Source organism: Homo sapiens, chromosome 9, assembly GCF_000001405.40.
Source record: "Homo sapiens chromosome 9, GRCh38.p14 Primary Assembly".
NCBI lineage: Eukaryota > Metazoa > Chordata > Mammalia > Primates > Hominidae > Homo > Homo sapiens.
Window position 1 is genome coordinate 77,263,595 of NC_000009.12, and position 18,454 is coordinate 77,282,048.

Genomic DNA, 18,454 nt, shown 5'->3' on the forward strand with positions numbered 1-18,454 from the left:
GGTTTCTTACTTGTAAATTTTTTTCAGTTCTTTGTAGATTCTGGATTTTAGTCCTTTGTCAGATGGATAGATTGCAAAAATTTTCTCCCATTCTTTAGGTTGCCTGCTCACTCTGATGATAATTTCTTTTGCTGTGCAGAAGCTCATTAGTTTAATTAGATCCCATTTGTCAATTTTGGCTTTTGTTGCCATTGCTTTTGGTGTTTTAGTCATTTAGTCTTTGCCCATTCCTGTATCCTGAATGGTATTGCCTAGGTTTCCTTCTAGAGTTTTTATGGTTTTAGGTCTTACATTTAAGTCTTTAATCCATCTTGAATTAATTTTTGCATAAGGTCTAAGGAAGTGGTCCAGTTTCAGTTTTCTGCATATGGCTAGCCAGTTTTCCCAACACCATTTATTAAATAGGGAATCTTTCCCCCATTGCTTGTTTTTGTCAGATTTGTCTTTAAATAGGGAATCTTTCCCCCATTGCTTGTTTTTGTCAGATTTGTCAAAGATCAGATGGTTCTAGATGTGTGGTGTTATTTCTGAGGCCCCTGTTCTGTTCCATTGGTCTATATCTCTGTTTTGGTACCAGTACCATTGCTGTTTTGGTTACCGTAGGCTTGTAGTATAGTTTGAAGTCAGGTAGCGTGATGCCTCCAGCTTTGTTCTTTTTGCTTAGGATTGTCTTGGCTATACGGGCTCTTTTTTGGTTCCATATGAACTTTAAAGTAGTTTTTTTGAATTCTGTGAAGAAAGTCAATGATAACTTAATGGGGATAGCCTTGAATCTATAAATTACCTTGGGCAGTATGGCCATTTTCACAATATTGATTCTTCCTATCAGTGAGCATGGAATGTCTTTCCATTTGTTTGTGTCCTCTCTTATTTCTTTGAGCAGTGTTTTGTAGTTCTCCTTGAAGAGGTCCTTCACATCCCTTGTAAGTTGGATTCCTAGGTTATTTTATTCTCTTTGAAGCAATTGTGAATGGGAGTTCACTGATTATTTGGCTCTCTGTTTGTCTATTATTGGTGTATAGGAATGCTTGTGATTTTTGCAGATTGATTTTGTATCCTGAGACCTTGCTGAAGTTGCTTATGAGCTTAAGGAGATTTTGGGCTGAGGCATTGGGGTTTTCTAAATATACAGTCATGTCATCTGCAAACAGAGACGATTTGATTTCCTTTCTTCCTATTTGAATACCCTTTATTTCTTTCTCTTGCCTGATTTCCCTGGCCAGAACTTCCAATACTATGTTGAATAGGAGTGGTGAGAGAGGGCATTCTTGTCTTGTGCCAGTTTTCAAAGGGAATGCTTCCAGTTTTTGCCCATTCAGTATGATATTGTTTGTTGCTTTGTCATAAATAGCTGTTAGTATTTTGAGATACATTCCATCAATACCTAGTTTATTGAGAGTTTTTAGCATGAAGGGTGTTGAATTTTATCGAAGGCCTTTTCCGCATCTATTGAGGTAATCGTGTGGTTTTTGTCACTGGTTCAGTTTATGTGATGGATTACGTTTATTGATTTGCATATGTTGAACCAGCCTTGCATCTCAGAGATGAAGCCAACTTGATTGTGATGGATAAGCTTTTTGATGTGCTGCTGGATTTGGTTTGCCAGTAGTTTATTGAGGATTTTCACATTGACGTTCATCAGGGATATTAGCCTGAAATTCTCTTTTTTGTGTGTGTCTCTGCCATGTTTTGGTAGCAGGATGAGGCTGGCTTCATAAAATGAGTTAGGGAGAAGTCCCTCTTTTTCTATTGTTTGGGATAGTTTCAGAAGGACTGGTACCACCTCCTCTTTGTGCCTCTGGTAGAATTCGGCTTTGAATCTATCTGGTCGTGGGCTTTTTTTGGTTGATAGGCTATTAATTACTGCCTCAATTTCGGAACTTGTTATTGGTCTATTCAGGGATTCGACTTCTTCCTGATTTAGTCTTGAGAGGGTGTATGTGTCCAGGAATTTATCCATTTCTTCTAGATTTTTGTAGTTTATTTGTGTAGAGGTGTTTATAGTATTCTCTGATAGTAGTTTGTAGTTCTGTGGAATCAGTGGTGATATCCTCTTTAGCATTTTTTATTGTGTCTGTTTGATTCTTCTCTTTTCTTTATTAGTCTGGCTAGCAGTCTATGTATTTTGTTAATCTTTTCAAAAAACCAGCACCTGGATTCACTGATATTTTTGAAGGGTTTTTCGTGTCTCTATCTCCTTCATTTCTGCTCTGATCTTAGTTATTTCTTGTCTTCTGCTACCTTTTGAATTTGTTTCCTCTTGCTCTTGCTTCTCTGGTTCTTTAATTGTGATGTTAGGGTGTTGATTTTAGATCTTTCCCGCTTTCTCCTGTGGGGATTTTAGTGCTATAAATTTTCCTCTAAACACTGCTTTAGCTGTGTCCCAGAGATTCTGGTTGTGTCTTTGTTCTCATTGGTTTCAAAGAACTTACTTCTGCCTTAATTTCATTATTTACCCAGTAGTCATTCAGGAGCAGGTTGTTCAGTTTCCATGTAGTTGTGCGGTTTTGAGTGAGTTTCTTAATCCTGAGTTCTAACTGGATTGCACTGTGGTCTGAGAGACTGTTTGTTATGACTGCCATTCTTTTGCATTTGCTGAAGCTTGTTTTACCTTCAATTATGTGATCAATTTTAGAATAAATGTGATGTGGTTCTGAGAAGAATGTATATTCTGTTGATTTGGGGGTGGAGAGTTCTGTAGATGTCTATTAGGTCCACTTGGTCCAGAGCTGAGTTCAAGTTCTGAATATCCTTGTTAGTTTTCTGTCTTCTTGATCTGTCTAATATTGACAGTGGGGTGTTAAAGTCTCCTGCTGTTGTTGTGTGGGAGTCTAAGTCTCTTTGTAGGTCTCTTAAGAACTTGCTTTATTCTTTAAGAATGTTGAATATTGGCGCCCACTCTCTTCTGGCTTGTAGGGTTTCTGCAGAGAGCTCTGCTGTTAGTCTGATGGTCTTCCCTTTGTGGGTAACCTGACGTTTCTCTGTGGCTGCCCTTAACATTTTTTCTTTCATTTCAACCTTGGTGAATCTGACGATTATGTGTCTTGGGGTTGCTCTTATTGAGGAATGTCTTAGTAGTGTTCTCTGTATTTCCTGAATTTGAATGTTGGCCTATCTTGCTAGGTTGGGGAAGTTCTCCTGGATAATATCCTGAAGAGTGTTTTCCAACTTGGTTCTATTGTCCCCGTCACTTTCAGGTACACCAGTCAAATGTAGGTTTGGTCTTTGCACATAGTCCCATATTTCTTGGAAGCTTTGTTTGTTCGTTTTCATTCTTTTTTCTCTAATCTTGTCTTCATGCTTTATTTCACTAAGTTGATCTTCAATCTCTGATATCCTTTCTTCCGCTTGATCGATTTGGCTATTGATACTTGTATATGCTTCACGAAGTTCTCATGCTGTGTTTTCCCACTCCATCAGGTCATTTATGTTCTTCTCTAAATTGGTTATTCTAGTTAGCATTTCCTCTAACCTTTTTTCAACACTCTTAGGTTCATTGCATTGGGTTAGAACATACTGCTTTAGCTCAGAGGAGTTTGTTATTACCCACCTTCTGAAGCCTGTTTCTGTCAATTCTGCAAACTCATTCTCCATCCAGTTTTGTTCCCTTGCTGGCAAGGAGTTGTGATCCTTTGGAGGAGAAGAGGCATTCTGGTTTTTGGAATTTTAGCCTTTCTGCACTGGTTTTTCCCTAATCTTTGTGGATTTATCTACCTTGAGTCTTTGAAGTTGGTGACCTTCGGATGGGGTTTCTGTGTGGACGTCCTTTTTGTTGATGTTCATGCTGTTCCTTTCTGTATGTTAGTTTTCCTTCTAACAGTCAGACCCCTTTGCTGCAGGTCTGCTGGAGTTTGTTGGAGGTCCACTGCAGACCCTGTTTCCCTGGGTATCACCAGCGGAGGCTGCAGAACAGCAAAGATTGCTGCCTGTTCCTTCCTCTGGAAGCTTCGTCCCAGAGGGGCACATGCCAGATGCCAGCCAGAGCTCTCCTGTATGAGGTGTCTGTCGACCCCTGCTGGGAGGTGTCTCCCAGTCAGGAGGCATGGGGGTCAGGGCCCCACTTGAGAAGGCAGTCTGTCTCTTAGCAGAGTTTGAGTGCTTTGCTGGGAGATCCACTGCTCTCTTCAGAGCCAGCAAGCAGGAATGTTTAAGTCTGCTGAAGCTGCACCCACAGCCGCCCCTTCCCCCAGGTGCTCCGTCCCAGGGAGATGGGAGTTTTATCTATAAGCCCCTGACTGGGCTGCTACCTTTCTTTCAGAGATGCCCTGTCCAAAGTGGAGGAGTCTAGAGAGGCAGTCTGGCTACAGTGGCTTTGCTGAGCTGCAGTGGGCTCCGCCCAATTTGAACTTCCAGGCAACTTTGTTTACACTGTGAGGGAAAAGCTGCCTTTTCAAGCCTCAGCAGTGGTGATTCCCGCTCCCCCCACCAAGCATCCCAGGTTGACTTCAGACTGCTGTGCTGGCAGTAAGAATTTCAAGCCAGTGGATCTTAGCTTGCTGGGCTCCATGGGAGTGGGATCCGCTGAGCAAGACTGGCTTCAGCCCCCTTTCCAAGGGAGTGAAAGGTTCATCTTGCTGGCATTCCAGGTGCCACTGGGGTATGAAAGAAAGCTCCTTCAGCTAGCTTGATGTTTGCCCAAATGGTTGCCCAGTTTTGTTCTTGAAACCCTGGGCCCTGTTGGTGTAGGCACCCGAGGGAATCTCCTGGTCTGCCGGTTGCGAAGACTGTGGGAAAAGTGTAGTATCTGGGCTGGAGTGCACCGTTCCTCATGGCACAGTCCTTCAGGGCTTCCTTTGGCTATGGGAGGGAGTTCCCTGATCCCTTTGTGCTTCCGGGGTGAGGCAAAGCCCCACTCTGCTTCAGCTCGCCCTCCGTTGGTTGCATCTACTGTCTAACCAGTCCCACTGAGATGAGCCGGGTACCTCAGTTGGAAATGCGGAAATCACTGGCCTTCTGCATTGATATTGCCTGGAGCTGCAGGTTGGAGTTGTTCATATTCAGCCATCTTGCCAGCCACCAGTGTAGAGAAGTTTTATCCCCAGTCTGTTAGAGAGTATGTTACTACCTGGGCGTGGTGGCTCACATCTGTAATCCCAGCACTTAGGGAGCCCGAGGCAGGCAGATCACTTGAGGTTAGGAGTTCGAGACCAGCCTGGCCAACATGGTGGAACCCCGTCTGTACTAAAAATATAAAAATTAGCCAGGCATGGTGGTGGGCATCTGTAATCCCAACTGCTCAGGAGGCTGAGGTAGGAGAATCACTTGAACTCTGGAGGTGGAGGTTGCAGTGAGCCAAGATTGCGCCACTGCACTCCAGCCTGGGCGACAGAGCGATACTCCATCTCAAAAAAAAAAAAAAAGAAAGTGAGTTAATGTCCCATTACTCCTGAATACTTTAGTGTTTTGTTGTATTCTTTTCCTAGTCTGTTGGTGAGTTTTTTTGTTTCTTTAATTGTCTTTTGGAGGGCAAAAGTTTAATTTTGATACAATTGACTTTAGCAATATTTTCTCTAGATATTGAGCTTTTTGTATCACATCTCTGCAATTTTTGCCTAATTTAAGGTCAAGAAGATTTTTCCCTATGTTTTTTTCTAGAAATTTTTTAGAGTTAGGTTTTATACTTAGGTCTCTCATCCATTTAATTTTTCTATATGGTGCTTGTGATGGGATCCTCTTTCTAGTTTTACATCTGCACTTAGTTATTTCCATTTTGTTTGTTAAAAAGACTATTCTTTTACTATTGAGTTGACTATATATGTGTAAGTCTATTTCAGACTCTTCCAGTGATTTCTGTGTCTATCATTTCCATCTGTTTCTGTCCTTTTGTTGATATCATACTGTCTTAATTATACTATAACTTCATGTCTTGAAATCCAGAAAGGTTAGTCCTCCAACTTTTTGTATTTCCAAAATGTTTTCGACTGATTCCTTTGCCTTTTAGAATCAACTTATCAATTTCCACAAAAATTCTGGCTGAGATTTGGATAGAAATTGTATCATTAATTTGGGAGAATTAACATTTTAGCAGTATTGAGTCTTTCAGTTCATTAACATGGTATATCTCTCCATTTGCTTAGGTCTTTTTAAGTTTTTAAAAATTGGTTATTTGTAGCTTAAGCATCCGTTTGCTAATATATGTTGTTAAATTTGTACATAGTGTATGGGCTGAATTGTGCCCTTCAAAATTTATATATTGAACCCTAATTCTGCTATTTCACATTGTGACTGTATTTACAGATAGGTTCTTTACAGCAGTGATTAAGTTAAAATGAGACCACTAGGGTGGGCGCTAATCCAGTTTGACTGGTGTCTTTATAAGAAAAGGAAATTTGGTCTCACAGAGACACCAGAGATGCATGCACACTGAGGAAAGCCCATGTGAGGACACAGAAAGGAGGTCATCTGCAAGTTAACGATAGAGGTGGCCTCCAGAACTGTGAGAACATAGATTTCTGTTGTTAAAGTCACCCAGTCTATGCTATTTTGTTATGGCAGCTCTGGCAATCTCATATACGTTTTGGTACCAAGCAGTGAGTTGTTGCTTAACAAGCACTTAGAAATGTTGAAGTGGCTTTAGAACTGGGTAATGGGCAGAGACTGGAAGAATTTTGAGGCACATGTTAGAAAAAAACCTAGATTCTATCGTTTAATAAATTATTGATATAAAATATGGACGTTCAAGCTGTTTCTGTTGAGACCTCAAGTGGAAATGAGGAACATGTTATTTGACATTGAAGGGAATGTGGTCCTTGTTATAAAGTGGCAAAGATCTTGGTTAAATTATGTTCTAGTGATGAAGTTGGATATTTAGCTGTGGAGATTTCTAAGTAAAATGTTGAAGGCATCGTCTTATTTCTCATTGCAGCTGGTCAAATCACTTGAGGCCAGGAGTTCAAGACCAGCCTGGCCAACACGATGAAATCCCGTCTCTACTAAAAATATAAAAATTAGCTGGGTGTGGTGGTGCACACCTGTAGTCCCAGCTACTCAGAAGGCTGTGGCACAACAATCACTTGAACCTGGGAGGCGGAGGTTGCAGTGAGCCGAGATTGTGCCACTACACTCCAGCCTGGGTGACAGAAGGAGAATCTGTCTCAAAAACAAAAAAAAAATTGTACAATATGTGGTTAATATGTGTTTGATTTATTACAAAGATGCCAGCCTAGCTAAGTGGGGGAAGGATCACCTTTTCAACATATGGTTCTGAAACAACCGGATTTCCATGTGGAAAGTAAATTAATTTCAACCCTTATCTTATATGCGGAATTTAACTTGAAGCATAGACCTAAATATAAAGTCCACAAGTGTAATTTCTGGAACAAAAAATGTAGGTTAAAATTTTGAATCCTTGCAGTAGGTAAAGATACCTTAGGATATAAAAAGCGCAAATATAACAGGAGAAAAAAATAAATAAATTGGACTTTATAAAAATTAAATTTTTCTGCTGTTTGGAAGACATTGTTAAAAAAGGTGAAAAGGCAAACCATCTAACCATCCACTTGGGAAAAATAGTTGCAAAAATATTTTTACAAGTCCAGACTTGTATCTAGAATATATGAGAAGACTAACAGCTCAATAATAAATGACTAAACAGGTAGCATGAAAAGATGTTCGACTTTATTACTCACCAGAAAAATGCAAATCAAAGCCACATAGAAATACTACTACACAATGGTTAGAATGGCTAAAAATAAGAAGAATGGCAATACCATGTCAAGGTGTTGCCATGACAAGGATTTAAAACTCTCATATGTTACTTGTGAAACTTGAAAATAGCATAACCCTTTGTAATTTAGTTTGGTAGTTTTTAAAAATAAGGTTAAGTATATACTTACCATATGACTTGGGAATTCTACTCCTAGGTTTTTACCCAAGAGAAATGAAGTCACATGCCTACCAAAAGACTTGAACTAGAATACTCACAGTAGGGTTATTCATAATAGTAAAAAGTTGCATAAAACCCAATTGTCTATCCAGAAGTGAATGGATAAGGAAAAATAGTATATTCATACAGTAGACTACTACTCAGGAAAAAAAATACTAATACATGTAGCAGTGATGGGCAGTGATTGAGTGTAGGGGGAGCTTCCCTCAAAACTCCAGGGCATTTTAGGGAATAGAACGCAGGATTACTTGGCAATTCATTTAAGAACTTAACAAAACTTGTATTCTAAAACCTAACAACTACATTATAAAAGAGGAAAATAATAGCCCAGTTTCACTAATAAATGTAAGATACAAAAATTTCAAAACATTAAAAGTTGAAATTAAGGTAACATAGTTGTTACTTTTGGGAGGATGCCTAATGATTGCAAGGAGCTTAAGGGAGGCTTATGAGTTGCTTGTAATGTTTCATACTGGACCTGGGTGGTTGGTAGGTTGAGTGTGTTTACTTTCTGAAAATGTATTGAACTTTAGAGTTTATGTACTTCGTGTAGTAGATTATAATGTGCTTAAAAAAAATGCTGCTGCTGCTTCCAAAATGAGCAGAATTTCACAGAATGGCAAACACAAATAACCAAGGAAGCTATTTGTGTTTGATATGATATGTAACCGTTATGCATTTGTGAAATTGTAATTAAAACTAGGATGACATGGCCAATGAGACTGATATAATTTGAAATCTTTGAACACCCTAAGCATTGTGAGGATATGGAGAGATAGAAACTGTGCTGCTGGTGTTAGTGTAATGTCTTATCACCACTTTTGAAAATGGTTTGATAGTGCTCAATAAGGTGAACATATATAATTTTACTGTTTGGGAAAGTTTTATCCACAAGCACCTATGGGCATATCAAGGATGTTTATAGTAGTGCTACAAGCAAAAGCAAAAATCTATAAGCAACACAGATACTCACCAACAGTATAGTGGACAAATAAGTAGTGGTTTCTTCATCAGTGCAATACAATATCACAGTAAAATTCAGTTAACTATCAGTGTGGTTAAAATTTAAACATTGTTTTGTAAAGGAAGTCACAGGAAAATGTATGTCATATATGCTACAGTTTGGAAAGAGGCAGGGGTAAACGATGCATTATTTAGATAATCATTCATAGGTGCTTTAGTACAAACAACTAAATAAAAGCAAGATCATGATGAGAGGTAGGGAACGTGACAAGGAGGAATGAGATCCGGGAGGAACACATAAGAAGATGCTTCTAGGTCAGGATGTGGTAATGTTTTATTGCTTGGCTGGGTTGGAAAATTCAGATGTGTCTTTTATTATTATTTTTTTAAACTGCAAAATTTGTTTTTATATATGCTGTATTTCTCCAAACTGTAAAAAAGTAAATTTCCTGAAATACCTTTCAGAGATCAAAAATAAAAGTAAGTTCCTCAATTCTAGAGGCTTTAAGTATTGTGACTTGTGTGTTCCTCACAGATGTCCTGATTTAATACTATGTTGACTTAAAATATAAGATCTGTTTCTACTCAAAGCCTGTCATCAAGGACATTATTAAAACAGTTCTACAATTTTTATTTAGCCTTAAAATTGTAAAACTACTTCTTTAAAATCTGCGTTTTATAATGTATTTTTCTAATTTAAACCTGATTATCTTCTCAGTTAATTCAAATTGGATAGCTTTTTGTCAAAACTGTTGTAGAACTTTGAATAAACATTTTTTGAATAAGCGGTGAATAAACATTTTTGTGCTAATCAACATTGAATTACTTTTCTTTCAGATTCAAACATCTACTTCTTTGGGAACATCACAGATTTCACAGAAAATAATTCCTCTCTTGGAACTTCCATCTGTTTCTGAAGATGGTAAAATGAAACTGCTTAAGGATATTTTTCTTATTTTATTAAAATAATTTCTGTTTTGAGGCATATTTTTCTCAAAGGACCACACAGAGGAAGGAAAATATCTTTTCCTTTTAAAATCTAGGTTCTTGACTGAGGCTCTATGAATGGAAGACAGATTAACATGAGAAAACAAGCAGATTTACTAGCATTCATATTTCATGGGTACATGCAAGAAGCTCAGGAATGAGTAACTCAAGGTGGTGATTAAAATTTGGGTTTATATACCAGTTTGGGCTTAAACAAAGGAAAAGAGGTTTTGGGCTTCAGGGATAGGGGTTGCTGGGGAGGCAAGGTATATGGGAAGGCGACCAGAAAAAGTATGGTACACAAGGGTAAAGTTTGTTACGCAGATATGTCAGTGTTTTCTCCGTTGATAAGAATGTCTTGGGAGTAAGAGTCATCTTCCCTGGTACAGAAAGGAAGATACCTTTACAAGGTAGATTTCTCTTATAAATGTTAATTTCCCTTAGAAAAGGGAAACTTAGGATCTGTCTTCAGAGCTTTTCCTGTGTCTGCTGTTTCTTAAAATAATTGACTCAGTGTAATCCTTATGCCAAAAAGACATGTTTTCGAGTGGCGTATTTTGGTCTTCTGTAGTCATATAAGAAATTTAAGGCAATAGCAGATATTTGTATATTTTCAGGAAATTTTAACTAAAATTTATTTTAAATAGCACAATTCCTTAAAGTTGCTTTTGCAATGGGATTTTTTTGGTATAAAGTTGAACAGAAAATGACAAGGACCAGCCAGGCGCAGTGGCTCATGCCTGTAATCCCAGCACTTTGGGAGGCCAAGGCGGGCGGATCATGAGGTCAAGAGATCGAGACCATTCTGGCCAACATGGTGAAACCCCACCTCTACTAAAAGTACAAAAATTAGCTGGGAGTGGTGCTGCACACCTGTAGTCCCGGCGACTCGGGAAGCTGAGGCAGGAGAATCGCCTGAACCCAGGAGGCGGAGGTTGCAGTGAGCAGAGATCGTGCCACTGTGCTCCAGCCTGGTGACAGAGCGAGAGTCCGAATCAAAAAAAAAAAAAAAAAAAATGACAGGGACCACTAATAAGTTAATTATCTTTATTTGGCTGTGAGTTAAAAAACACCACAAAACTTCACAGATGTCTTAATTTCTAATGTGTTTTTTAGTTATTTGGAAAATTTTGCTATAGTATATTTAAAACATTTTTAAAAATATAATTATTAAAGGAAAATCATCAATAATTATCTACATTTACATATAAAAATATATAACTATTCTGATACCAAATATGTGCTTTTTAATGACCGTATTAGAAAAGGTGTATGTCTATATTTTTAAGACTTTAAAAATTGATAAATGTTAAATAACAGAAACTGCCATGTCGATTCTTGGTTTCTTAGAGAACAATTTTTCTTTATTTATAGTCACCAGAGAGAAGTTGTTTGTGAGATCATCTACTTTAACTTCAGTCTTAGTTTATTAGGGATATACTTCTGATTGTTTCATTTAAACCTAGTTTTAATGGTTTTACTAAGTTATCTAATGCTTTTTCAGTCCTTTTTAATATCAGCATATGTGTATGCTGATGTGTATTACATATCAACGTATATGTACATATACCTATATTTGTGTATATATATGTATACAAAGTAGTGCTTGATCTCAGTTTACTTCATTCAGACTCTGCTGCTAATATTGCAGAGTTTATACCTAAGTCCTGTTACACTATCCAGGTAGAGTGAGCATATTAACATATTACTTTGAGTATTCATGGTGTGTATAATCATCGGCATTGGCATTTCCTGTAAAATTTAAGCAATTTTAAAATAGACTATTTCAAAAGATGGGCTTCTTAAGCTAAAGATTACATCTTAATAATGTTCCATGCTTCTTTATAACCAAGAATGTTATTTAAAAGTAGAGTATCCCTTTGTTTAAAATGGACAATAAAAAAGTACAGTAATGTCTATATTATTTTCTGTTTATTTCGGTTCTCATGTTAATATTTGATATTTAAAAGAGAGCCTTAGTGTTTTAGTGTTCATATTTATTTCTATTGAAATACTGTTAAATTGATCATTTTAATTATTGACTTAAATAATGTTCTGTGAAATGTAGATTCAGAGGAGGAATTTTTTGATGCACCATGTAGTCCCTTGGAAGAACCTCTTCAGTTTCCAACTGGAGTTAAAAGTATTCGAACCAGAAAGTTACAAAAGCAGGATTGTTCAGTAAATATGACTACATTTAAAATAAGATTTGAAGTACCAAAGGTAGGTACTACGGTAAAATTAACATGGCTTAATTTGTTTGCTGTTTCTATATTTACAGCTTACTATATAGTCTCATTGTTAAGAAGCACTATCTTTTTCACCCTAATTAAAGTAATTCCAGACTTGCTGTGTGATTCTTGGTCACTCCCCGCCCCCCCCTTTTTTTTTTAAATAAGATTAACTTCCTTAATCAAGAGTGAAGGATTTAAATTTATTCAGTACATGTTTTTGTGAAAACGATTATTTATGTTGTGTGTGTATTGTATGTCTGTGTGGGTATAAAATCTCTCCTAAATTTTAAATAATAATATATCAATTGTATGTATACCTCATATATTCACATGTAACCACTATGCACATAAACATGTTTTTGTTTTATGTAGTGGTAATTTCTTTTTTCTTTCTTCTCCAGGTTTTGATCGAGTTTTATCACCTTGTTGGAGATTGTGAACTATCTGTGGTAGAAATTCTTGTTTTAGGATTGGGTGCAGAAATTGAGATTAGAACATACGATTTGAAAGCAAATGCCTTTTTGAAAGAGTTCTGCTTAAAATGCCCAGAATACTTGGGTAAGAATCTCTATTTTTTAAAATAAATAAATTAATTTCATTGTTTGACTACCTGCTAGAGAGTTTTCAATTCTTTAGGCTCTGAATCAGTACATTTGCTGAAATATTCTCAGAGAACCATTCCTTTTTGAGTTAATCTTTAACTTTTATAGTTGGTAATGTGGGGGGCACACCGGAGATAAAATGAAGATAATTTTATTCATTATGGAAAATCAGATGATAATGGTTGAATTTTAAATCTACTTAACTGAGTATTGGAACACTTAATTAGTTTTCTATTGTTGCTATAACAATTTACCACAAACTTAGTGCTTAAAAACAACACAAATTTATTATCTTAGAGTTCTGTATGACAGAAGTCTGACACAAGTCTCACTGGGCAAAACTCAAGGTGTCAGTAGGACTTCCTTTTAGGAGGCTCTAGAGGAGGGTCCATTTCATTGTTCAGTCAGGTGTTGACAAAATTCATTTACACATGGTTTAAGTCTATGTTTCCTTGTTGCCTGTTAGCGGATGGCTGCCCTTAGGCCTCAGTTGCTTTTTTGCACGTAGCTGCTAACCACAATAAGGCATCAGATCCTCCTCATGTTGCCATATCTCTAACCTCCTCTTCTGTGTTTTGCTTCCACTCTTAAAACTCCAGTGATTAGATTGGACACACCTCTATAATTCAGGATAATATACCTTTAACCTTAACCTTAATCCCATTTTCCAAGGCCCTTTTGCCATATGAGTTAACATATTCTCAGATTCCGGGGGATTAGAGCGTAGGTATCTTTGTTGGGGGCAGAGGGCAGTATTCTCCTTACTGCAAACCTTTTGTGTTCGTAATGGATATATGATCCCTAAGAAACTATTCTGTTTCCTATGTTAGGTAATTAGGAGGGTTGTATTTATATTTCTTCATTTACATTTTTTGGATTTTTCCTTGAAAGATAATTGTGAATAGTAGAGGCAATTATTAGGACACCAGTTTCATTTTATTAAACTCCTTTGTAGCATAATAATATTATGTATGAGCAGAGGTGGAAATAAAATTTTTTAAATAGACTATTTTTTAGAGCAGTTTTAGATCATGGGACAATTGAGCAGAAGGTACAGAGATTTCCCATATACTCCTTGTACCCACACCTGCATAGCCTTTTTCATTATCAACATCCTCCACTAGAGTGGTACATTTGTTACAACTGATGAACCTACACTGACACATCGTAATTACCAAGAGTCCACAATTTACATTAAGGTTCACTGTTGCTGTTATACCTTCTGTTTGGACATGTATAATGACATGCATCTACCATTACCTTCTCATGTGGAGTAGTTTCACTGCCCTAAAAATCCTCTGTGCTCCACCTATTTGTCCCTCCCTCCCACTTAACCCCTGGCAACTGGTGATCCTTTTAGTGTCTCCATAGTTTTACCAGCATGTCACATAATTGGAATCATATATATCCTTTTCAGATTGGCTTCTTTCACTTAGTAATATATGCTGAAGTTACCTCCATGTCTTTTCATAACTGGGCAGCCCATTTCTTTTTTAGCAATGAATGATATTCTCTTGTCTGGATGCACCACAGTTTATTTATCCATTCATGTACTGAAGGATATCTTGGTTGCTTCCACGGTTTGGCAATTGTTAATAAAGCTGCTGTGAACATTTGAATGCAAGTTTTTGTGTAGACATAAATTTTCAGTTTCACTGGGTAAATACCAAGGAACATGATTGCTAAATCATCAAGAAACAGTTTGCTCTAGTAATTGGAAAGAAAAGTAAACCAACGTGACAGTGTTCCCTAGTAACCCAGGAACTTTATAGCAGTTACTAAGTTTTTTTTATTATTATTAGTTTTATTTATTTTTATTTTTTGAGATGGAGTCTCGCTCTGTTGCCCAGGCTGGAGTGCAGTGGCATGATCTCGGCTCACTGCAAGCTCCACCTCCTGGGTTCATGCCATTCTCCTGCCTCAGCCTCCTGAGTAGCTGGGACTACAGGCGCCCGCCACCACGCCCAGCTAATTTTTTTTTTTTTTTTTTTTTGTATTTTTAGTAGAGACGGGGTTTCACCATAGTCTCAATCTCCTGACCTCGTGATCCGCCCGCCTTGGCCTCCCAAAGTGCTGGGATTACAGGCGTGAGCCACCGCGCCTGGCCACACTTATTAAGTTTTATGTTTATTCTTATGTTTGCTTTGCCAAGAACAAAGGATTAAAAAACCCTTGCAAACAGAAAAAAGAGTATACAATTATTATTGCGCTTATTTCTGTAATATTTTTGTTTCTGTTTTCTCAGAGGGAGTGAATAGCAGTTTCTTGCACAAAGTAAATGATCAGTAAATGGTTCAATGAATGAATAAATGTGTAAACAAAGTGGGAACTTTTTTAAGGCTTCAAGTGTGGCTAGCACTTGGAGTAGAAAACAGGTTTATGTGCTAAGCATTAGGTTTGGAGAACTCTGTGCAATTTGTGGCATTTTTTTCTCAGGAATTGTAGGATTAGTTTGTAGTCCTTTCTTCCAGTCTTTAGATACTAATTTTCTAGCAACCGTAAGTCATTTGGTGATGAGAGTTTTAAAAGCTTTCTATAAATTCTCTTCTACACTGGTTTTCTTAGTATAGCACATTTTGAGCAGAAGCAGTAATATTAAAATGGGAGAGTTCCTTTATTCCCCTCGCAGGACATGCCACAGGGGTGTGTATTTCCCTAGAGGGAGCATGCAGATGGGCAGGTGCAGAGGCTGTGGGGAGTGCTTTTGGGCTCCGGCCCCAGGACAGCATCTAGGGGTAGGTGTCTACAACCCCTGAAGCCCAAGGGGCATGTGTTACAGTATGCTCTTTCAACTTTGCCATCTGCAGACAGCTTTTGTTAATCACCTCGATAGACCGTCTTCCTTATCGCAAGGGCAGGGGGCCATTGTGACTGCCTGAGTTCTTGCCCAGTGTACCAGAAGAATTGGATGACATGTGGGCTGGAAGGATGAGTGCAAGGTTTTATTGAGTGGTGGAGGTGGCTCTCAGCAAGACGGATGGAGAGCCGGAAGTGGGGGATGGAGTGGGAAGGTGGTCTTCCCCTGAGGTTGGGCCACCCAGCAGATGGACTCTTCACTGACAGCCCCTAGTTGAACTACCCCAGCGTCCGGACGTCCACGTCCTTCCTCTTCTCTCTTTTTCTGCCATGCTGCCCTGCCACTCTCTGCCACTCTCCACCACTCTTTTCCTCTGCTCTTCTCAATGCTCAGCTGCTTGTATCTGTGCCCACTAAGGCCTTGGGCTTATATGGGCACAGGATGGTGGGTATGGTGGGCCAAAAGGCAACTTTTCAGGTGCAAAAACAGAAATGCTTGTTCTCGTTTAGGGCCTCCAGTTTTTAGGCTTGAGGGTGGGGCCTTTGCTGGGGAACTGCCCTCTTCTACCCAGTATTTCCCTGTCTGCTGTCCATATCAGTATAACTAATAAAGACTGATTACATGGTAATAGGGTTTATTTTAATCTAAACTAATATACAGAAAACTTAATGTTTCATCTCATTCCCGGTCTGTCTTCTGAACAGCTGGGTTTTCAAGGACTCTGATGATTTCCTTTTTAGTTATTTCAGTGATCCAGGGCCAGAATTCTCTTCCTGCCCTTTCATTGTTCCTAAAAACCATTCTAGTTTCTCTTTAGTTGATTCCTGTTTTTTCTTACCTTACCTCCTATCTAGGTTTAGAAGGGTATGAGACTTCAGTGTTGTGGCACATGAGGAGGTAAGGGAATTGTGAGGAGAAATTAAATTTTTAGAGTTTAAAGAACAAAGAAGTAACTTGACTTGGGTGAGGTAGAATCCAAGGTCCAGAACTCATATAGGAAAGCCTTCTTTTGCAATTACATAATTAATAAGATTGCTTGCATTTATTTTCAGTTACCTTTCCGATGAAAAGATAATTTTTAAAAAATTATTTTTAGATGAAAACAAGAAACCAGTTTATTTGGTTACAACCCTGGATAACACAATGGAAGACCTGTTAACGCTGGAATATGTAAAGGTAAGCAGTTTCATTTATATCTGCTTAATATGGTAAGTATGCTGCTGAAATGTTAAGTTTTGTAAGTTTGGTATTATTCAGTTTATTTAATCTTCACTGTAACATAATCTCTTTGTAACTCCTAATACTAAGGTTTTTTTTATTTTGTCATCTTGTATTAAATAGTTGTGATTTATAAATACTTCATATAGCAAAATAAGAAGATTGTGTTCTAAGTAGAAATGACCTGGAGTTTGATTTTTTTTTTCTCCCAACAGGGGTACTGAGAAAGAAACACACTTTTTAGTCTTGTTAGAGTGTATTGTTTTATGTGATACAAGATGATGCTTTCACTTTCTTTTCCACTGTTTTGTGAAGTTACTTGATATTCCTAGGGTCAATAACTCCATTCCTTTTTTATTGATTTATGATATTCATTTTATCGTTTGTTAAGCTTTTCTATGTACTATGGTCTATTTCTAATTTTTCCATGTTTCTGCTGACTTCCGTGTTTCTGCGTCAGACTATTTTAATAATTACTTTATAATAAGAATAATGCAGAAAGCATTTAATCACTTTAAAACCATTTTTGCTATCCATTATTGACTAGATGTCTTAAGATTTTTGTTGTATATGCATTATATAGCTTTTATGTAGCAAAAGTATTCTAGACCTAAAGAAAATGGATAAAGAAAATGTGGTATATATACAAAATGAAACACTATTCAGCTTTAAAAAAGGGGGGGAATCCTGTCACTTATGTCGACATAGATGAATGTGGAGGACATTATGCTAAGCAAAATAAGCCAAGCACGGAAAGACAAATACCTCATGATCTTCTTTATGTGTGGAATCTAATAAAACTGAACTTATAGAAGTAGAGAGCACAGTGATGGTTACCAGAGGGTAGCAGGGATGGGAGGGAGGGAAGGAGAGGGAATAGAGAGTTGTCAATCAAATGGTACAAAGTTCCAGATAGACAGGAAGAATAATTTTTGAGATCTGTATACAGCAGGGGAACTGTAATCAATAATAATGTGTTGTTTATTTTAAAACAACCAAGAAAGTGAATTTCAAATGTCTCACCACAAAGAAAGATAGGAAAGCGAGGTGACAGATATGTTAGTTAGCTTAATTTAATCATTTAACATTGTGTACATATATCAAAACATCACATTGTCCTCCATAAGTGTATATAATTATGATTTGTCAATCAAAAATATTAAATTTTTTAAAAAGAAAAAGAAAACACAGAGTATTTGGATACTTGGTGGACAATTCTGTCACAAATTTTGTTTTTAAATACAGGAAGAATTAGGAAGAACCGTACAGAGTTGTTGATGACCGAATGATTATTCTCCACACTTGATAATATCCAACATTTCCTCTCTTAATAATAAGAATGATAGTACGTAACATTTATTGAATACTTGCTATGTGCCAGAGAGTCCAATACTTACATTTTCTTTTGTTCTGGTGAAGCGGTTGCTTATTTAGGTAATTATATGTGTGTGTATATGTGTATATATATATATATATATGTATATGAACAGCTGGAAAATTATATAAATGTGTATTAGGACTATAATGTGATTGTATATGTATGTCTTCCTAACGTGTTCTAACAGATTTGTTTTCTCTTTGGATAGGCTGAAAAGAATGTACCCGACTTGAAAAGTACCTATAACAATGTTTTACAATTGATTAAGGTATGAGTAGATAATTTATTTTTTAATTATGTACTATTTCTTATGGAAATTATTTTCTAACTGGAATTGTAAGATCCTTAAAGATAAGAAAATATTATAAATTATATCCTTTATGCCACAAA

At 37.3% G+C, this 18,454-nt stretch overlaps 1 protein-coding gene across 4 annotated transcripts in view, besides 2 other annotated features; it reads left to right on the forward strand.

Moving 5' to 3' along the window:
* The window catches only part of VPS13A (vacuolar protein sorting 13 homolog A), a 244,004-nt gene that overhangs the window by 86,061 nt on the left and 139,489 nt on the right, over positions 1-18,454 (forward strand). For all 4 annotated transcript variants that reach the window (NM_033305.3, NM_001018037.2, NM_015186.4 and 1 more), the window contains exons 24-28: positions 9,686-9,770; positions 11,904-12,058; positions 12,471-12,627; positions 16,565-16,644; positions 18,273-18,332. In NM_033305.3, coding sequence (NP_150648.2) covers positions 9,686-9,770; positions 11,904-12,058; positions 12,471-12,627; positions 16,565-16,644; positions 18,273-18,332 — 537 coding nt within the window. The remainder of the gene's footprint in view (positions 1-9,685; positions 9,771-11,903; positions 12,059-12,470; positions 12,628-16,564; positions 16,645-18,272; positions 18,333-18,454) is intronic.
* Positions 3,558-4,558: an enhancer, noted in NCBI's record as "H3K27ac-H3K4me1 hESC enhancer chr9:79882068-79883068 (GRCh37/hg19 assembly coordinates)". NCBI's record gives its function as "activates a minimal SCP1, AML or CMV promoter by ChIP-STARR-seq in primed H9 embryonic stem cells {active_cell/tissue: H9 hESC(primed)}" and the evidence as "EXISTENCE:reporter gene assay evidence [ECO:0000049][PMID:30033119]".
* Positions 4,559-5,558: an enhancer, noted in NCBI's record as "H3K27ac-H3K4me1 hESC enhancer chr9:79883069-79884068 (GRCh37/hg19 assembly coordinates)". NCBI's record gives its function as "activates a minimal SCP1, AML or CMV promoter by ChIP-STARR-seq in primed H9 embryonic stem cells {active_cell/tissue: H9 hESC(primed)}" and the evidence as "EXISTENCE:reporter gene assay evidence [ECO:0000049][PMID:30033119]".